Below are 18217 nucleotides of genomic sequence, written 5' to 3'. Positions count from 1 at the left end.
AATAAGATATATCAGTTATAACTTCAATTTGCACGTTATCCTCTGTTTATTTTCTTCTCTCCATCCTTTATTCATATATTTTATCCTCCGTGCACTGTCCAATCAATATCTGATCCTCTTTGATATCTGCTTAGAGTCCACATACACATCCCCTCAGAACACAGTAAAATATTTTCATGTTTGGATTGCATCTTTCCTTAGATTTTTCTATACATACCAGCACATTTGAATATGTACTTTTACCCCTCCCTTTTAAACAAAATTTACCATGTTAAACATATTGTTCTATCCTTCATTTTCATAGGACAGCATATTTTGGAGATCTTTCCATATCTGTATTTGGCTAGCTTCTTTCTTCTTTTTATGTATGTATGGTCTTTTATTGGTTTAGTGTATTTTAATAGTCAACAAATATCTTGATTGATAGATATTTGAGATAGTGTCATTTGAGCAGTCTTAACAATGATACAATGATTGGCCTTTCACATATTCCCTGAAGTATTTTGTTTACAGTTTCATAAACCACAGTGATGGCTCATTTATATTTCAACTTGCCTAGGCTATGGCACCCAGTGTATGATCAAAACAGCAGTCTAGATGTTGCTGTTAAAATATTCTTTCCATGTGATTAACAATGTAATAAGTAGACTTCGAGTAAAACAGATTACCCATTATAATATGTGTGAGCCTCATCCCATCAAGGGAAGACGTTAAGTTCAAAGAATGAGGTCCCCCAAAGAAAAAGTAATTCTGTTCCAGACCTCCTTTGGACTCAAGACTACATCAACCCCTTCCAAAATTTACGAACTGCCAACCTGCTCTGAAGATTCTGGACCTGCCATCTTCCACAATTTTGTGAACCAATTCTTCAAAATAAATTTTTCTAGCTCCCTCTTGATATATATATGTCCCATTTGTTTTGCATCTATGGAGAATCCTGACAAACACAATCAGCCTGAATTGGGACTGGTAAATTCTCTTCTACCGTTTTTCATTCAGTTCAAACAACTAAGTTTTGTTACAGTTGTTTGTTTTGTTTTCAGAACAACTAAATTAGATGAAACATTTCAAATATCTTTATGGATTAAAAAATAAATGCATTTGTTCTAGAATAATGGCAGTGTTGGATTAGGAGAGTAATTGATGATTTTATTTCCTACTCTGCTTACATTTGTCTAAGAATTATCTAAGCATTACCATTATGCTTTCATGAACCTGTAACTTCTTAAAGGAGACACATGAGCTTTTATCTGTGTGCATTATATCATTTACGGTTGATTATTTGAATGGCTTCCTAAAGTCTTAGGAACAATATTCCCAAAGGGAAACTCATCTACAGGTGCACAAGGAAGTGCTGAAGTGAAGTCACTCACTCATCTTCGTGCAAATAATGTCCAGAAATGGAACATACAAATTGAGTATATAGAATTCAATACGATTTTTGTAAGATCATTTAAAAATCTTGTGAATCTGTTTACCCAACATAGCTTATAGTAAGACTTCCTGGTGTTATCTTACAACAGTGGAGGCTTAGCTCTTAGGGGCAACAGGAAGATTATGAACAAGTTTATCGTCTAGTTACAATCATTTTATAATTTGTTCTGATTCACAAAAGAACAAAGTGCCTGAAAAAAGAATAGTACGATAGATGGATAATTTTCTTTCAGAAGAAAATAGTAGATTTCAAAGCCAGGTAATACAATCATAAAAAATGAAAAAGAAGTATTAAGGAAAAACTTAATTTTGTTCCGTCTACCTAACAATAATTTAAATAAAGTTTAAAATGTTTAAAATCTTTTTATTAATGTCAGAGTTTGAAATAAAGAAACAAACATTATTGGTCACAATGGTAATATTGATAGTCCTAGATCATATTGCTCTTGGCAGCCATGAAGAAATAAATTATAAAAGCTTAGAATTGCATGAACATACCACTTTAAGACACACCATCATTTGTATTAGAAAAATTTCAGCTATGTATGTTAGACTAGTTTTATATTTTGGTGGGTAAATAAGGCTCAAATGTACCTTAATTGTTAGGACTGAGCTTGATTCTTATTATAATAGAAGACCTGGCTTTCTAATGAAGAAAATTATTGTTTAAAAATTGAAACAAAAATTGTTAAACTAATATAATTTCAAATATAAAATTAATTCAAAAATTAGCTTTATGACTATTTATAACTTCAAGATAATTATAGCTTGTTTTTATTTAAAAATGTAAGTCTTTGATACAAAATAATAAAAACATAAATTTTTACAAATTTTATATAAAAAATTTATTAAAATATAAAATTTCATTTACAAAGTTTATATTAACAAAACATTAGATTTGGAAAAATACTTGCTACTCATAGTATTTTTTACCTATCTAAATAACTTGTTTCTTCCAAAGCCCTTGCTTATATATTTCATGATTTATTGGCTTCTCAATAAGATAAGTAAGTTATTTGGAGCCTAAAAGATCTTAATGACTCAGCTGGTAACAAAACTTTAGTCTATTTCTAGTTTGGATTTTTCTTACTTTTGTATGTTTCTTTATTTCTCGATGGCATTGTTATAAAAATGAAAATCCACATTTTTTTCTGCCAAGCAATTTCTATATAAAGAAAATACTGTTTTATCAAAATTACCAGTGGGAATTTGGAAATTATATCATTACATTGAGGGGAATACCCCTATAACTTTGTGTATTATATATTAAATTTGACCAGTCAATGATATTACATATTAAATCCAACCAGTTGTCTATCAAAAAATGTGAGCCTTTTTTTCATATAATTGTGAAGGTCCTACTTGATCACTGTTCTGTGGGAAATTACATTACAATTCCTCAGTAGCTAAATAGTCAATATTTGTGGGTTTTTTTGACAAACCTAATAGATTTTCTCTTTTTTAAACTGTATGTTTTAACTTTTTTCTTAACAGAAAGCAGGAGTGAGCATGCAGAAGAGATTTAAGATATGTATGTACAATATTTGAGACATATGACTAATGCATGGCATAATTAAGCTATACAACAAATCTCTAGTTGTAAAGTCCATACACTATGATGATTCATAAGAATATTTAAGTGGTTAAAAAAACGTGGAATTCATTATACTTTTGATTGAATGTCACTTTGGAAGTCATTACTGTAACTATGTATTACACAAAGATGATTAAAAATACTCCGAGCTACAGGAGGAAATTCAAACCAAAGGCAAAGAAGTTGAAAACTTTGAAAAAAATTTAGACGAATGTATAGCTAGAATAACCAATACAGAGAAGTGCTTAAAGGAGCTGATGGAGCTGAAAGCCAAGGCTCAAGAACTACATGAAGAATGCAGAAGCCTCAGGAGCCAATGCAATCAACTGGAAGAAAGGGTATCAGCAATGGAAGATGAAATGAATGAAATGAAGTGAGAAGGGAAGTTTAGAGAAAAAAGAATAAAAAGAAACGAACAAAGCCTCCAAGAAATATGGGACTATGTGAAAGACCAAATCTACTTCTGATTTGGAAAGTGATGGGGAGAATGGAACCAAGTTGGAAAACACTCTGCAGGATATTATCCAGGAGAACTTCCCCAATCTAGCAAGGCAGGCCAACATTCAGATTCAGGAAATACAGAGAACGCCACAAAGATACTCCTCGAGAAGAGCAAATCCAAGACAAATAACTGTCAGATTCACCAAAGTTGAAATGAAGGAAAAAATGTTAAGGGCAGCCAGAGAGAAAGGTCGGGTTACCCACAAAGGGAAGCCCATCAGACTAACAGCGGATTTCTCGGCAGAAACTCTAAAAGCCAGAAGCGAGTGGGGGCCGATATTCAACATTCTTAAACAAAAGAATGTTCAACCCAGAATTCCATATCCAGCCAAACTAAGTTTCATAAGTGAAGGAGAAATAAAATACTTTATAGGCAAGCAAATGTTGAAAGATTTTGTCACCACAAGGCCTGCCCTAAAAGAGCTCCTGAAGGAAGCACTAAACATGGAAAGGAACAACCAGTACCAGCCACTGCAAAATCATGCCAAATTGTAAAGACCATCAAGGCTAGGAAGAAACTGCCTCAACTAATGAGCAAAATAACCAGCTAACATCATAATGACAGGATCAAATTCACACATAACAATATTAACTTTAAATGTAAATGGACTAAGTGCTCCAATTAAAAGACACAGACTGGCAAATTGGATAAACAGTGAAGACCCATCAGTGTGCTGTATTCAGAAAACCCATCTCACGTGCAGAGACACACATAGGCTCAAAATAAAAGGATGGAGGAAGATCTACCAAGCAAATGGAAAACAAAAAAAGCAGGGGTTGCAATCCTAGTCTCTGATAAAACAGACTTTAAACCCATAAAGATCAAAAGAGACAAAGAAGGCCATTACATAATGGTAAAGGGATCAATTCAACAAGAAGAGCTAACTATCCTAAATATACATGCACCCAATACAGAAGCACCCAGATTCATAAAGCAAGTCCTGAGTGACCTACAAAGAGACTTAGACTCCCACACAATAATAATGGGAGACTTTAACACCCCACTGTCAACATTAGACAGATCAACGAGACGGAAAGTTAATAAGGATACCCAGGAATTGAATTCAGCTCTGCACCAAGTGGACCTAATAGACATCTACAGAACTCTCCACCCCAAATCAACAGAATATACATTCCTTTCAGCACCACACCACACCTATTCCAAAACTGACCACATAGTTGGAAGTAAAGCTCTCCTCAGCAAATGTAAAAGATCAGACATTATAACAAACTGTCTCTCAGACCACAGTGCAATCAGACTAGAACTCAGGATTAAGAAACTCACTCAAAACCGCTCAACTACATGGAAACTGAACAACCTGCTCCTGAATGACTACTGGGTACATAACGAAATGAAGGCAGAAATAAAGATGTTCTTTCAAACCAACGAGAACAAAGACACAACATACCAGAATCTCTGGGACACATTCAAAGCAGTGTGTAGAGGGAAACTTATAGCACTAAATGCCCACAAGAGAAAGCAGGAAAGATCCAAAATTGACACCCTAACATCAAATTAAAAGAACTAGAAAAGCAAGAGCAAACACATTCAAAAGCTAGCAGAAGGCAAGAAATAACTAAAATCAGAGCAGAACTGAAGGAAATAGAGACACAAAAAACCCTTCAAAAAATTAATGAATCCAGGAGCTGGTTTTTTGAAAGGATCAACAAAATTGATAGACCGCCAGCAAGACTAAAAAAGAAGAAAAGAGAGAAGAATCAAATAGACGCAATAAAAAATGATAAAGAGGATATCACCACTGATCCCACAAAAATACAAACTACCATCAGAGAATACTACAAACACCTCTATGCAAATAAACTAGAAAATCTAGAGGAAATTGATAAATTCCTTGACACATACACCCTCTCAATACTAAACCAGGAAGAAGTTAAATCTCTGAATAGACCAATAACAGGATCTGAAATTGTGGCAATAATCAATAGCTTGCCAACCAAAAGGAGTCCAGGACCAGATGGATTCACAGTCGAATTCTACCAGAGGTACAAGGAGGAACTGGTACCATTCCTTTTGAAACTATTCCAATCAATAGAAAAAGAGGGAATCCTCCCTAACTCATTTTATGAGGCCAGCATCATCCTGATACCAAAGCTGGGCAGAGACACAACCAAAAAAGAGAATTTTAGACCAATATCTTTGATGAACATTGATGCAAAAATCACCAGTAAAATACTGGCAAACCAAATCCAGCAGCACATCAAAAAGCTTATCCACCATGATCAAGTGGGCTTCATCCTTGGGAGGCAAGGCTGGTTCAACATACGAAAATCAATAAATGTAATCCAGCATATAAACAGAACCAAAAACAAAAACCACATGATTATCTCAATAGATGCAGAAAGGCCTTTGACAAAATTCAACGACCCTTCACGCTAAAAACTCTCAATAAATTAGCTATTGATGGGATGTATCTCAAAATAATAAGAGCTATCTATGACAAACCCACAGCCAATGTCATACTGAATGGGCAAAAACTGGAAGTATTCCCTTTGAAAACTGGCACAAGACAGGGATGCCCTCTCTCACCACTCCTATTCAACATAGTGTTGGAAGTTCTGGCCAGGGCAATTAGGCAGGAGAAGGAAATAAAGGGTATTCAATTAGGAAAAGAGGAAGTCAAATTATCCCTGTTTGCAGATGACATGATTGTATATCTAGAAAATCCCATTGTCTCAGCCCAAAATCTCCTTAAGTTGATAAGCAACTTCAGCAAAGTCTCAGGATACAAAATCAATGTACAAAAATTACAAGCATTCTTATACAGCAATAACAGACAAACAGAGAGCCAAATCATGAGTGAACTCCCATTCACAATTGCTTTAAAGAGAATAAAATACCTCGGAATCCAACTTACAAGGGATGTGAAGGACCTCTTCAAGGAGAACTACAAACCACTGCTCAACGAAATAAAAGAGGATACAAACAAATGGAAGAACATTCCATGCTCATGGGTAGGAAGAATCAATATGGTGAAAATGGCCATACTGCCCAAGGTAATGTATAGATTCAATGCCATCCCCATCAAGCTACCAATGACTTTCTTCACAGAATTGGAAAAAACTACTTTAAAGTTCACATAGAACCAAAAAAAAGCCCGCATCACCAAGTCAATCCTAAGCCAAAAGAACAAAGCTGGAGGCATCACGGCACCTGACTTCAAACTATAATACAAGGCTACAGTAAACAAAACAGCATGGTACTGGTACCAAAACAGAGATATAGATCAATGGAACAGAACAGAGCCCTCAGAAATAACGCCACATATCTACAACTATCTGATCTTTGACAAACCTGAGAAAAACAAGCAATGGGGAAAGGATTCCCTATTTAATAAATGGTGCTGGGAAAACTGGTTAGCCATATGTAGAAAGCTGAAACTGGATCCCTTCCTTACACCTTATACAAAAATTAATTCAAGATGGATTAAAGACTTAAACGTTAGACCTAAAACCATAAAAACGCTAGAAGAAAACCTAGGTATTACCATTCAGGACATAGGCACGGGCAAGGACTTCATGTCTAAAACACCAAAAGCAATGGCAACAAAAGCCCAAATTGACAAATGGGATCTAATTAAACTAAAGAGCTTCTGCACAGCAAAAGAAACTACCATCAGAGTGAACAGGCAACCTACAAAATGGGAGAAAATTTTTGCAAACTACTCACCTGACAAAGGGCTAATATCCAGAATCTACAATGAACTCAAACAAATTTACAAGAAAAAAACAAACAACCCCATCAAAAAGTGGGCAAAGGACATGAACAGACACTTCTCAAAAGAAGACATTTATGCAGCCAAAAAACACATGAAAAAATGCTCACCATCACTGGCTATCACAGAAATGCAAATCAAAACCACAATGAGATACCATCTCACACCAGTTAGAATGGCAATCATTAAAAAGTCAGGAAACAACAGGTGCTGGAGAGGATGTGGACAAATAGGAACACTTTTACACTGTTGGTGGGACTGTAAACTAGTTCAACCATTGTGGAAGTCAGTGTGGTGATTCCTCAGGGATCTAGAACTAGAAATACCATTGGACTCAGCCATCCCATTACTGGGTATATACCCAAAGGACTATAAATCATGCTGGTATAAAGACACATGCACACGTATGTTTACTGTGGCACTATTCACAATAGCAAAGACTTGGAACCAACCCAAATATCCAACAATGATAGACTGGATTAAGAAAATGTGGCACATATACACCATGGAATACTATGCAGCCATAAAAAATGATGAGCTCATGTCCTTTGTAGGGACATGGATGAAATTGGAAATCATCATTCTCAGTAAACTATCGCAAAAACAAAAAACCAAACACCGCATATTCTCACTCATAGGTGGGAATTGAACAATGAGAACACATGGACACAGGAAGGGGAACATCACACTCTGTGGACTGTTGTGGGGTGGGGGGAGGGGGGAGGGATAGCATTAGGAGATATACCTAATGCTAAATGACGAGTTAATGGGTGCAGCACACCAGCATGGCACATGTATACATATGTAACTAACCTGCACATTGTGCACATGTACCCTAAAACTTAAAGTATAATAGTAATAAAATTAAATTAAAAATAAAAGAAAAAAAGAATTTAAAAATTTAAGGTCAATATTACTCTACTAAATGAGTGCTAAATCATTTAAATAAAATGTGACATTACAATTCCGAGCACGTGTTTCTATTAAGAAAGAAAATCATACTGCTTTACATAATTGTCCTTTACTGAACTTTTTTGTGTTAATAATCATTTTCTTATTTTGCAATAAATTTGCTAATTACTATTATAAAAACTGTCAGGACAAAGAATTGTAGCCATGAAACTAATGTCGTTTGAAAGTTAGAAATTCACTTTGGAAGGCCGACGCAGGCAGATTACCTGAGAAAAGGAATTTGAGGCCAGTCTGGCCAACACAGTGAAACCCGTGTCTACTAAAATTACAAAAATTAGCTGGGCATGGTGACGTGCACTTGTAGTCCCAGCCACTTGGGAGTAAGAAGCAGGAGAATAGCTTGAACCTGGGAGGCAGAGGTTGTAGTAAAGTGAGATTGTGTCACTACACTCCAGCCTGGGTGACACAGTGAGACTCCATCTAAAAAAAAAAAAAGTTAGAAATTACAGAAAAAAAATTAAATGCAAAATAACAATTTAAAAATATCTCAGTGAATATGTAATTTAATATTTAGATTTTCAATTATTTTCTACTACAATTTTTCAATTTTTTAGTAAGATAATTCTCTGCCTTCAAATAAATATTGTGGACATGGTAGATTTAAAGATGCATAATATTTGAGCTGTAATTCATTTATTTTAATCCCCACCTAACAGTTTCTATCATTAGCAGATTTTCTTCTGCCTGATATAGTTTTTCCTAGTTCTTCACCTGACTCAGCTCATTCAATATTATTTTTAGCCTTTATCCTTAAATTTCACCCATTTAAATAGACTATTCCTAGTATGTTACAGGTGGATTAGATAGATAGATAAGGGACAGAGAGATACCTATCCATTCATCATCCTGCTTCTTCCTAACACATCACAGTCTTAAATTTTATCTATTCTCATATTTAAGTTTGTGTTTGTTTCACTCTCTAAAATAAAACTCCATTAAGAGGAATGATTTTACTGGTCTTGTTTATTTGGGTATCCCCAATGACTATCACAGTGCCTGTCATATATTTGATTTTCATAAAAATTTGTTATTTAAATGATCAAAATGTCCATAGTTTTGCTTAAAATTAGATCAAATATAAAGCAAACTTTCTCTTTTATCCCCCCAAAATTTACAATGTAGATATTGATGATCTTATAGTAATAGAACCTCAATTGAGAAAATTAATGTTTTTTGTTAATAAGCACTCCAGAATTCCTTCACAAATATATAAAAGAGAAAGAAGGACTTAAGGAAACAAATTTACACTGATCATAAAGAAAGGTTTATTGCTGGCTACATTTGATCTGGCAATAAACAAAACCTTTCATGAAAGCATTAATCAATCAGTGATTATATGAATCAAAAAGGAATTATCTGCTAGGCATTATCAGAACTACCAATAATCTTTATAAAAATATAAATAAAATTCACAATAATTTCCCCTTTAATCCAGATGTTTAATTACATCGCAGTTTCAATAGTTGTCTTTTTGTGTTTTGAAATTATTTTTATTCATTCATCTTAATTTATTAAGCATCCACTTTATTTATAAAAGGAATCAAGAATTGTAATTTTGTTGAGGACAAGAGGCAAATTTTATTTACATTTTAATTAAAATTATTTTCAAGATATTAGAATACTTGTTTTAAGAATGTGACCTTGTAAAACACACTCACCATGAGCTTAGAAAGCACAGAACCAAGCCATATATAGAGGCCACATGGAGTTGCTCTGGTCAGTGGTCCAAGCTTAGTTCCAATCAACAAGGAGTATAAACTGCCAGATATGTGAGTAAACTATCTTGAATATTTCAACTCAATTGAACCTCCAAGTCACTGCAGCCTCAGCCCATGTCCCATGGCTGATACCTGTCAACCCAAAAATGGTAAGATGAAATAAGTCTTTAGGTATATTCCCATATTTAAATAAATACGAGGTGGTACTAACTGTATTTCTGAAAAATAGAGGTTTATTATTTTAAAATGACTGGCCAGATTTGAAGAAAAGCCAAATAAAAATTCTAGAGTAAAATTTAAAATTAGATGCATGAACTAAACAGAAGACTAGATATAGCTGAAGAGATGATTGGTAAACAAGAAGACCAAATTACATAAATTATCTAGAATGTATCACAGAGTACTAGAAATTAAAAACACAAAGGGAAGAAAAATAAGTATAGAAAAATACCTGAAGCAAATCAAATCATAATGTAAGAAAGACTGACTAAAGAAAATGCAGGAAATGGAATATTTGATGATACAATGATTAGAATTGTCAAAATATGATGAAAGATATAAATTAATAGATACAAAAACACAGGATGTGGTGAAATAAAAAATTAACATGTAAAGATATTTTGGTAAACCTATAGAATTTCTAATACAAGGAGAATATTTTGAAGGAAACTAGAATAAAAGGCAAAATATATAAAAAGAGACAATGTATCAACTAAATTCTTTCTAAAAGCAGCAACAGCAAATAGAAAGATAGAACTAAATGTCAGAAGATACAATTTCTCAAAAAAATGGCCACTGACCTGCATATCTAAAAAAAATAAAGCTTCTAGCAGATATTGGGTACTATGCTCACTATCTGGGTGATGGGATTATTCATAACTCAAATATCAGCATTAGGCAATATACCCATGCAATGAAACTGCATATGTACACCCTGAATCTAAAATAAAAATTAAGGCAGAGCAAGATGGCAGAATAGGAGCCTACACTGTTTCTTTCCCCTGCAGGAACACCAAATTTTAACAACGACCTGCATACAGAAAAGCACTTCCACAAGAATCCAATTCAGATGAGTCATCACAGTGCCTGGTTTTAAGCTGATATAGAGGAAAGAGTCATTGAAGTGGGTAGGAAAGACAGTCTTAAATAACTAACGCCACTCCTCCTCCACCCCCAACAGCAGCCTGTAGCATAAAGTGTCTGTGCATTTGGGGGAGGGAGAGCACAGTGGGGACTTTACATTGAACTCAGTGTTGCCCTGTCACAACTGAGAGCAAAGTTGTGCTAAACTCAGCCAGTGCTCATTCATGGAAGGAGCATTTGGACCAGCCTTAGCTAGTGGGGAATCATCCATCCTAGCAATTGGATTCAGTTTCTTGAAAAGCCTTACCACCACGGGCCATAGTGCCCTAGAGTCCTAGCTCCACTTGAAAGGCGCTGTAAGACACAAGTGAGAGCTGACAACATGCTAGCAGCCCTCGCTTGCTCTCGGCACCTCCTCAGGCCACGGCATCCACTCTATTCATGCTTGGGGAGCCCTTCAGCCCACCGCTGCACTGTGGGAGCCCCTCCCTGGGCTGGCTGAGGCAGGAGCTGGCTCCCTCTGCTTGCAGGGAGGTGTGGAGGGAGAGGCATGGGTGGGAACCGGGGTTGTGCACAGCGCTCGCAGGCCAGCGTGAGTTCCAGGTGGGCACTGGCTCAGCTGGCCCTGCACTTGGAGCAGCCAGCTGGAGCCGCCGGCCCAGGGCAGTGAGGGGCTTAGCAACCGGGCCAGCAGCTGCAGAGGGTGCGGTGGGTCCCCCAGCACTGCTGACCTGCCCGCTCCACACTCGAATTCTCACTGGGCCTCAGCCACCTCCCCATGGGGCAGGGCTCCAGACCTGCAGGCCGCCATGCCAGACCCCCCCACCCCGTGGGCTCCGGCATGGCCTGAGCCTCCCGGACGGGCACTGCCCCCTGCTCCATGGTGCCTGGTCCCATCCACTGCCCAAGGGCTGAGGAGTGTGGGCTCACAGTGCAGGACCGGCAGGCAGCTCTGCCCACAGCCCTGGTGCGGGATCCACTAGGCAAGGGTTCCACTAGGCGAAACCAGCTGGGCTCCTGAGTCAGGTGGGGACTTGGAGAACTTTTATGTCTAGCTAGAGGATTGTAAATGCACCAATCAGCACTCTGTGTCTAGCACAGGGATTGTAAATGCACCAAGCAGCACTCTGTGTCTAGCTAATGTAGTGGGGAGTTGGAAAACTTTTGTGTCTATCTGGAGGATTGTAAATGCACCAATCAGCACTCTGTGTCTAGCTCAGGGATTGTAAACCCACCAATCAGCACTCTGTGTCTAGCTTAAGGTTTGTAAATGCACCAATCAGTGCTCCGTGTCTAACTAATCTAGTGGGGACTTGGAGAACTTTTATGTCTAGCTAGATGATTGTAAATGCACCAATCAGCATTCTGTGTCTAGCTCAGGGATTGTAAACACACCAATCAGCACCCTGTCAAAATGGACCAATCAGCTCTCTGTAAAACAGACCAATCAGCTCTCTGTAAAATGGAGCAACCAGCTTTCTGTAAAATGGACCAATCAGCAGGATGTGGGTGGGGCCAGATAGGGGAATAAAAGCATGCTGCAGGAGCCAGCCGCGGAAACCTGCTTGGCTCCTTTTCCACACAGTGGAAGCTTTGTTCTTTTGGTTTTTGCAATAAATCTTGCTGCTGCTCACTCTTTGGGTCCACACTGCCTTTATGAGCTGTAACACTGACTGCTAAGGTCAACAGCTTCACTTCTGAAGCCAGCAAGACCACGAACCCACAGGGAGGAATCAACAACTCGGGACGGGAGGAACGAACGACTCCAGACGTGCCACCTTAAGAGCTGTAACACTCACCACGAAGGTCTACAGCTTCACTCTTGAAGCCAGTGAGACCACGAACCCACCAGAAGGAAGAAACTCTGAACACGTCTGAACATCAGAAGGACAAACTCCGGACACATCATCTTTAAGAACTGTAATACTCACTGCGAGGGTCCGCGGCTTCATTCTGGAAGTCAGTGAGACCAAGAACCCACCAATTCCGGACACGCAAAGACTGTAATTCCTAGGCGACTACTAGTGCTGGGCTGGGCTCAGAGTCAATGGACGAGGGTGCCACGTGACCGAGGGAGACACTGGCCAGGGCAGCTAAGGAAGTGCTTGTACCACCCTTCCCTCAACACTAGGCAGTGCAGCTTGCAGCAATACAAGTAATTCTTTCCTTCTGCTTAAAAGTGGGGAGAGAAAAGAGTAGAGGACTTTGTCTTCTATCTTCAATACCAGCTCAACCACAGTAGGATAGGCCACCAATAAGAGTTGTGAGACTCCCATTCCAGGCCCTAGCTCATGGATAACATGTCTAGGCACACCTTTGGCCAAAAGGTTACCTACTGCCTTGAAGGGAAGAACCAAGTTCCGAAAGGATTCATTATGTGCTGACTGAAGAGCTCTTGGGCCCTGAATAACCAATAGTGATATGCAGGCAGTAAGCCATGGGCCTTGGGCTCTGAGACCTGCTGGCTTCAGGTGTGACCTAGCACACTCCTAGCTGTGGTGGCTACGGTGAAAGATTCCTTCTGTTTGGAAAAAGCAGAGAAAAAATTAAAAAGGACTTTGTCTTGCAAGTTAGGTACCAGCTTGGCCACAGAAGGGTAGAGCCATAAGCAGGAACTTGCAATCTCCAAGCCCAGATCAAGGATCTTGGACAGCATTTCTGGACCTGCCCTGGGCCAGAGGAGATCCCACTGCCCTGAAGGGTGAGTACCAAGCCTGGCAGCATTCACCACGAACTGAAGGAAGAGCTCTTGGGCTTTAAGTGAACATCAGGAGTAGCCTGGCAGAACCCCTCATGAGCCAATGGTGGTGGTGGCTGCAGCAATAGGCCCCTCTGCCTGCGGAAAGGGAAGGAAAGAGCTGGAAAGAGTTTATATTGTGGTTTGAGTACCAGTTTGGCTGCAGTAGAATAGAACATAAGGTATGTTTCTAAGGTTTTTTACTCCAATCCCTGGCTCACAGGCAGCATCTCTGGACCTGCCCAGGACCTGGGGGAAATTTCTGCCCTGAAGGGAATGACACAAACGTGGCTGACTTTGCCAGCTGCTGATTGTACAGAGCTAGAGCCTTGAGTGAACATAGGTGCTAGCCAGAGAGTGGTTACAACAGACCTTGAGTGAGACCCAGTGCTGTGTGCTGTCTTACTCAGGGCAGTCCCAGTGGTGTATTCTTTAAACAGTACTATTTTATATATTAGCATTATGGAATGTGGTATATTTCAAAAAAATAGTATATTAATGCCACATATAGTAAGAATCTGGATCCTAGATTTTCATTTTATTCATACTAACTTTTTTTTTTTCACCAATCTTTTTCTCATATAAGTGCTTGGAAATTAAGTCCTCTAGTTTTGAAAATAAAAGTGTATCAGTTGCAAAATACATTTTCCTTTGTCTACCTGACTTGTTTCCTATAATTTTTAAATTATACTACATTTATTAATGGTAATGTCATGTCTTAGTGTCTGTCACCTAGAAACGGCAAAGGCAACAATCTCCCTAAAGTACCTGATTTTGCCTCAAAATGGTCAGAGAAAATACTCTTATTTAAAAACCCCTAAAAGTTTCTTATCAATATTTCTCTTATATGAAAAATATACTACAAATGATGTTTTTTAAATCGGTGGTTCTTAAAAGTTTATATGCATATAATCAAATGTAAGGTTTATTAAAGGATGATTACTAGATCAACAGGTACATGCCACCACACCCAGCTAATTTTTGTATTTTCACCATGTTGGCCAGGATGGTCTCTATCTCCTTACTTTGTGATCCACCCACCTCAGCCTCCCCAAGTGCTGGGATTACAGACATGAGCCACTGCACCCAGCCAATCAATCCCTACAGTTTCTAATTCAGCAGTCTGAAGTGTATAGTACAGGCTGATAATATGCATTGGTAACAAATTTCTAGACTCTGCTAATCCTGCTGGTCTAAGGATTACTGTCCAATAATGACTATTCATGATTACTGGCATAAGGTATCAGGTCATTGGTATAAAAAGCCATTAAAAATTATGTTTATACATATATATAGACACATACACATATAGACACATACATAGGCACACAAACATATGCATACATAGCTATGCACATACAGCACATATACCATACCTACAAATATATATACTGACTCATCTAATAAGTAATAGTAGCTATTTTGTAAATTGCCTGCAATTCAATTTTTTTCCTTTTTGAGCATTAATTGAGATTTTAGTGGAACTTACATAATTGCAAAACCGTTTACTTTAAGGAATTAAAAAATTATATGTATGACTTCTTTATAGGTACTAAAATCTTATTTGTACACATATACAATTGACATAAGACAAATGTAAATCTATTTGGGTTTTACCATTTGGACCCTGTCTTTCTTGCCTTTACCTCACATGTTCTTTAGTTGCAGTAACATTACTAAATCTTGTCTTCTTACATCTCAAGTTTTGTGTACATAGTGTAACTTCTAACTACATATTACCACTCAGCCTCCACTTCTCCAAACCTCATTCTATTTTATTATAGAGTTCAGCTCTTTATTGAAATGTTACAACAGAAGTTTAGTCAAAAAGCCTGAAGCCCACGTTATGGTAGGACTCCTCATATTCCTCTCTTTGTTCTCCTTTCTTCTCCCTAGCTTCAGCAGTAGCTGAGGAAGGGGTAGTATCTCCTACCAGTGTAGCACCTGCTGCTGGGGCAGCTCCACCAGCTGCTACATTGCAGATGAGGCTCTTGATACTGATGTTGGCCAACATCTTTGCAAATATGGCAGGCCAGAAAGGCTTTAATGAAGATATTGATGTTATACAAAATATCAAATATTTGTCATTTGTAGAGACCATCATTTTTGAATGAATGAATAAGATAATTTTATAAATATATTTTGTGAGCATTAGAAAATTATCAAATGAACACAAGATTTAAAAATTGGAATAGAAAGTATAATAATAGATGACATAAATAGAAAGCAAATCAACATCTCTAGCTAAAAGCAAATAAAGAACCTTGATTTTACTCCAAATATGCACCTATATTTCAGAAATAGATGCACCATCTAGAAAATTAAGTAACATTTATCCTGTTGAATTTTGCATTTATTCTTTCCTATCCAAGTAATTTAGAGACAACAACTCCCAGAAAACTTCAATGTTGTAAGTGGAGTAAGAATAGCATTCATGTGTTTAATCCCAGGACATACAGAACCACAAAATACTGAATGGATGATGCTGGGGGAATCTTGGGAAACTCTGGTAGCCAGAAATAGAGTAACTTGTATAATATGCATATGTTTAAACTGCCACAGACCTAAGCTGAGAGACAGAAGTATATACCACCACTAGTAAGCTGACTCATAATAGAAGAAATTCTACTGTCAAAAAATAAAGAAAGAAGGTCGAGGGCTTGAATTAAATGAAGAGCTAAACATCAGGGGTTGGAAATTACAGGAACAATCTTAAAATTCTGCCTACCACATGAGGAAACTTGGTATGGTGTTTTTATTACGTGGGATGATATCTGATTTACGTTATAGTAAGCTTTTATGAAACTAGAACTAGGCTAGAGCTTACAGACTCTACTTCCTACCCAGAATCTCCCTCATCCCATGTCATTTAAGGTACATCTATAAAATATGATCCTCCTCATCCACCTATTATACGCATATATGGGGAACTCTAAGGAAAATATCAGACTATTATCAATTCTCTCTGTGCCAAATATATCTGAAAGTCATTGCTGGCACACAATTTTAAAGACAAAAATTATGACCCTGGAATTCCTCATCTGACTATAGAATTGGTTTCTTTCAATGAAAACAAGAGGAAATATTTCCTAGAATGAAATAATTCAGACAGAATAACACTCTTTGAAAAGCCAAAGAAATTTAAGAAGCAATGTTGATAAACAAGGGGTAATTACAATCAATAATTAAACAGTAGAAAAGAATTAGGGTGATAAACATCAATAGAGTAAAAAATGTTTAAATGAACTTTATTAAATATATATATGGTTACAAACAAAAACTAAAAAGAATATTGAACAAGAATACACAGAATATAAAGTTAATTATCTGGGTCTCAAATCCCATTTTGTCAATTAAAGCCTAGAGCAGTGATCAACAGAAATAGATTAAGGAATAAGTGGAGATAATTTTTTTCAAATTTCAAAATATTAAAATATTTATTTATTTTTACCTTTCATAATAGGGTTTCACTAGCAATATAGTTATGCTTCTCTACCATAAACACTTAAAACATAATACAATATTCAATAAGAATAAACTTTTCAGTATTGAAATGCTTTTTACAGACCACTTTTTCCCCAATTGCAAATTTGTTTTATGAAAGAAACAAAATCGATAGGATATATATGAACATATAAGAGGATATTTATTATGTGGATTGGCTCATATGATTATGGAGACTGAGAAGTCCCATGGTATGCTTTCCAAAAACTGGAGAACCAGGAGAGCTAGTGATTATTCTGAGCCCAAAGGATTGTGAACTAGAGGAGCTAATGGTATAATTCCAAGACCCCAGCTGATGGCTTGAGAACCAAGGGGACGCTGATGTAAATCCTGAAGTCCAAAGAACAAAGAGCCAAGAGCTCTGTTGGAGGGCAGAAAATAAATGTGCCAGCTCGAGAAAAGAGAGTACTTTCACCCTTTCTCTGTTTTTGTTGTTGTTGTTGTTGCTGTTGTTGTTGTTTGTTGTTCTACTCCAGGAACGCCCTCAATGGATTGGATGATTCCTGCCCACATTAGTTCTTTACTCAGTCTAATGATTAAGATGCTAATCATCTCCTCTGGAATTCTCCTTACGTCTGTAAGGAGACCAAAACATTGAGAAATAGTTTTACACCAGCCTTCTGGGCCTCTCTTAACCCAGTAAATTTGACATATAACATTAACTAACATGATATCTATTTCAGCATATATTTTCCTGGACTCTTCCTGTTTTTCCAATTATTAACCACAAAAATACTTTAAATATTTATTAAGCTTTTGCTATGCTATATAAATATTAAATAGTGAGAAATAAAGGGTGAATATGAGAAATTTTAGTGTAAAGACACTATAATCACAATTCTCAAAATAATAAAATTGAGTGAAAAGTAAGATATTGTGTAATGTGAACAAATAGTTTCAGAGACATAAAATGAGTAACATCATAAAATAAATTATACAT

Source organism: Homo sapiens, chromosome 4 (assembly GCF_000001405.40).
Source record: "Homo sapiens chromosome 4, GRCh38.p14 Primary Assembly".
NCBI lineage: Eukaryota > Metazoa > Chordata > Mammalia > Primates > Hominidae > Homo > Homo sapiens.
This window is presented reverse-complemented; position numbering follows the sequence as displayed.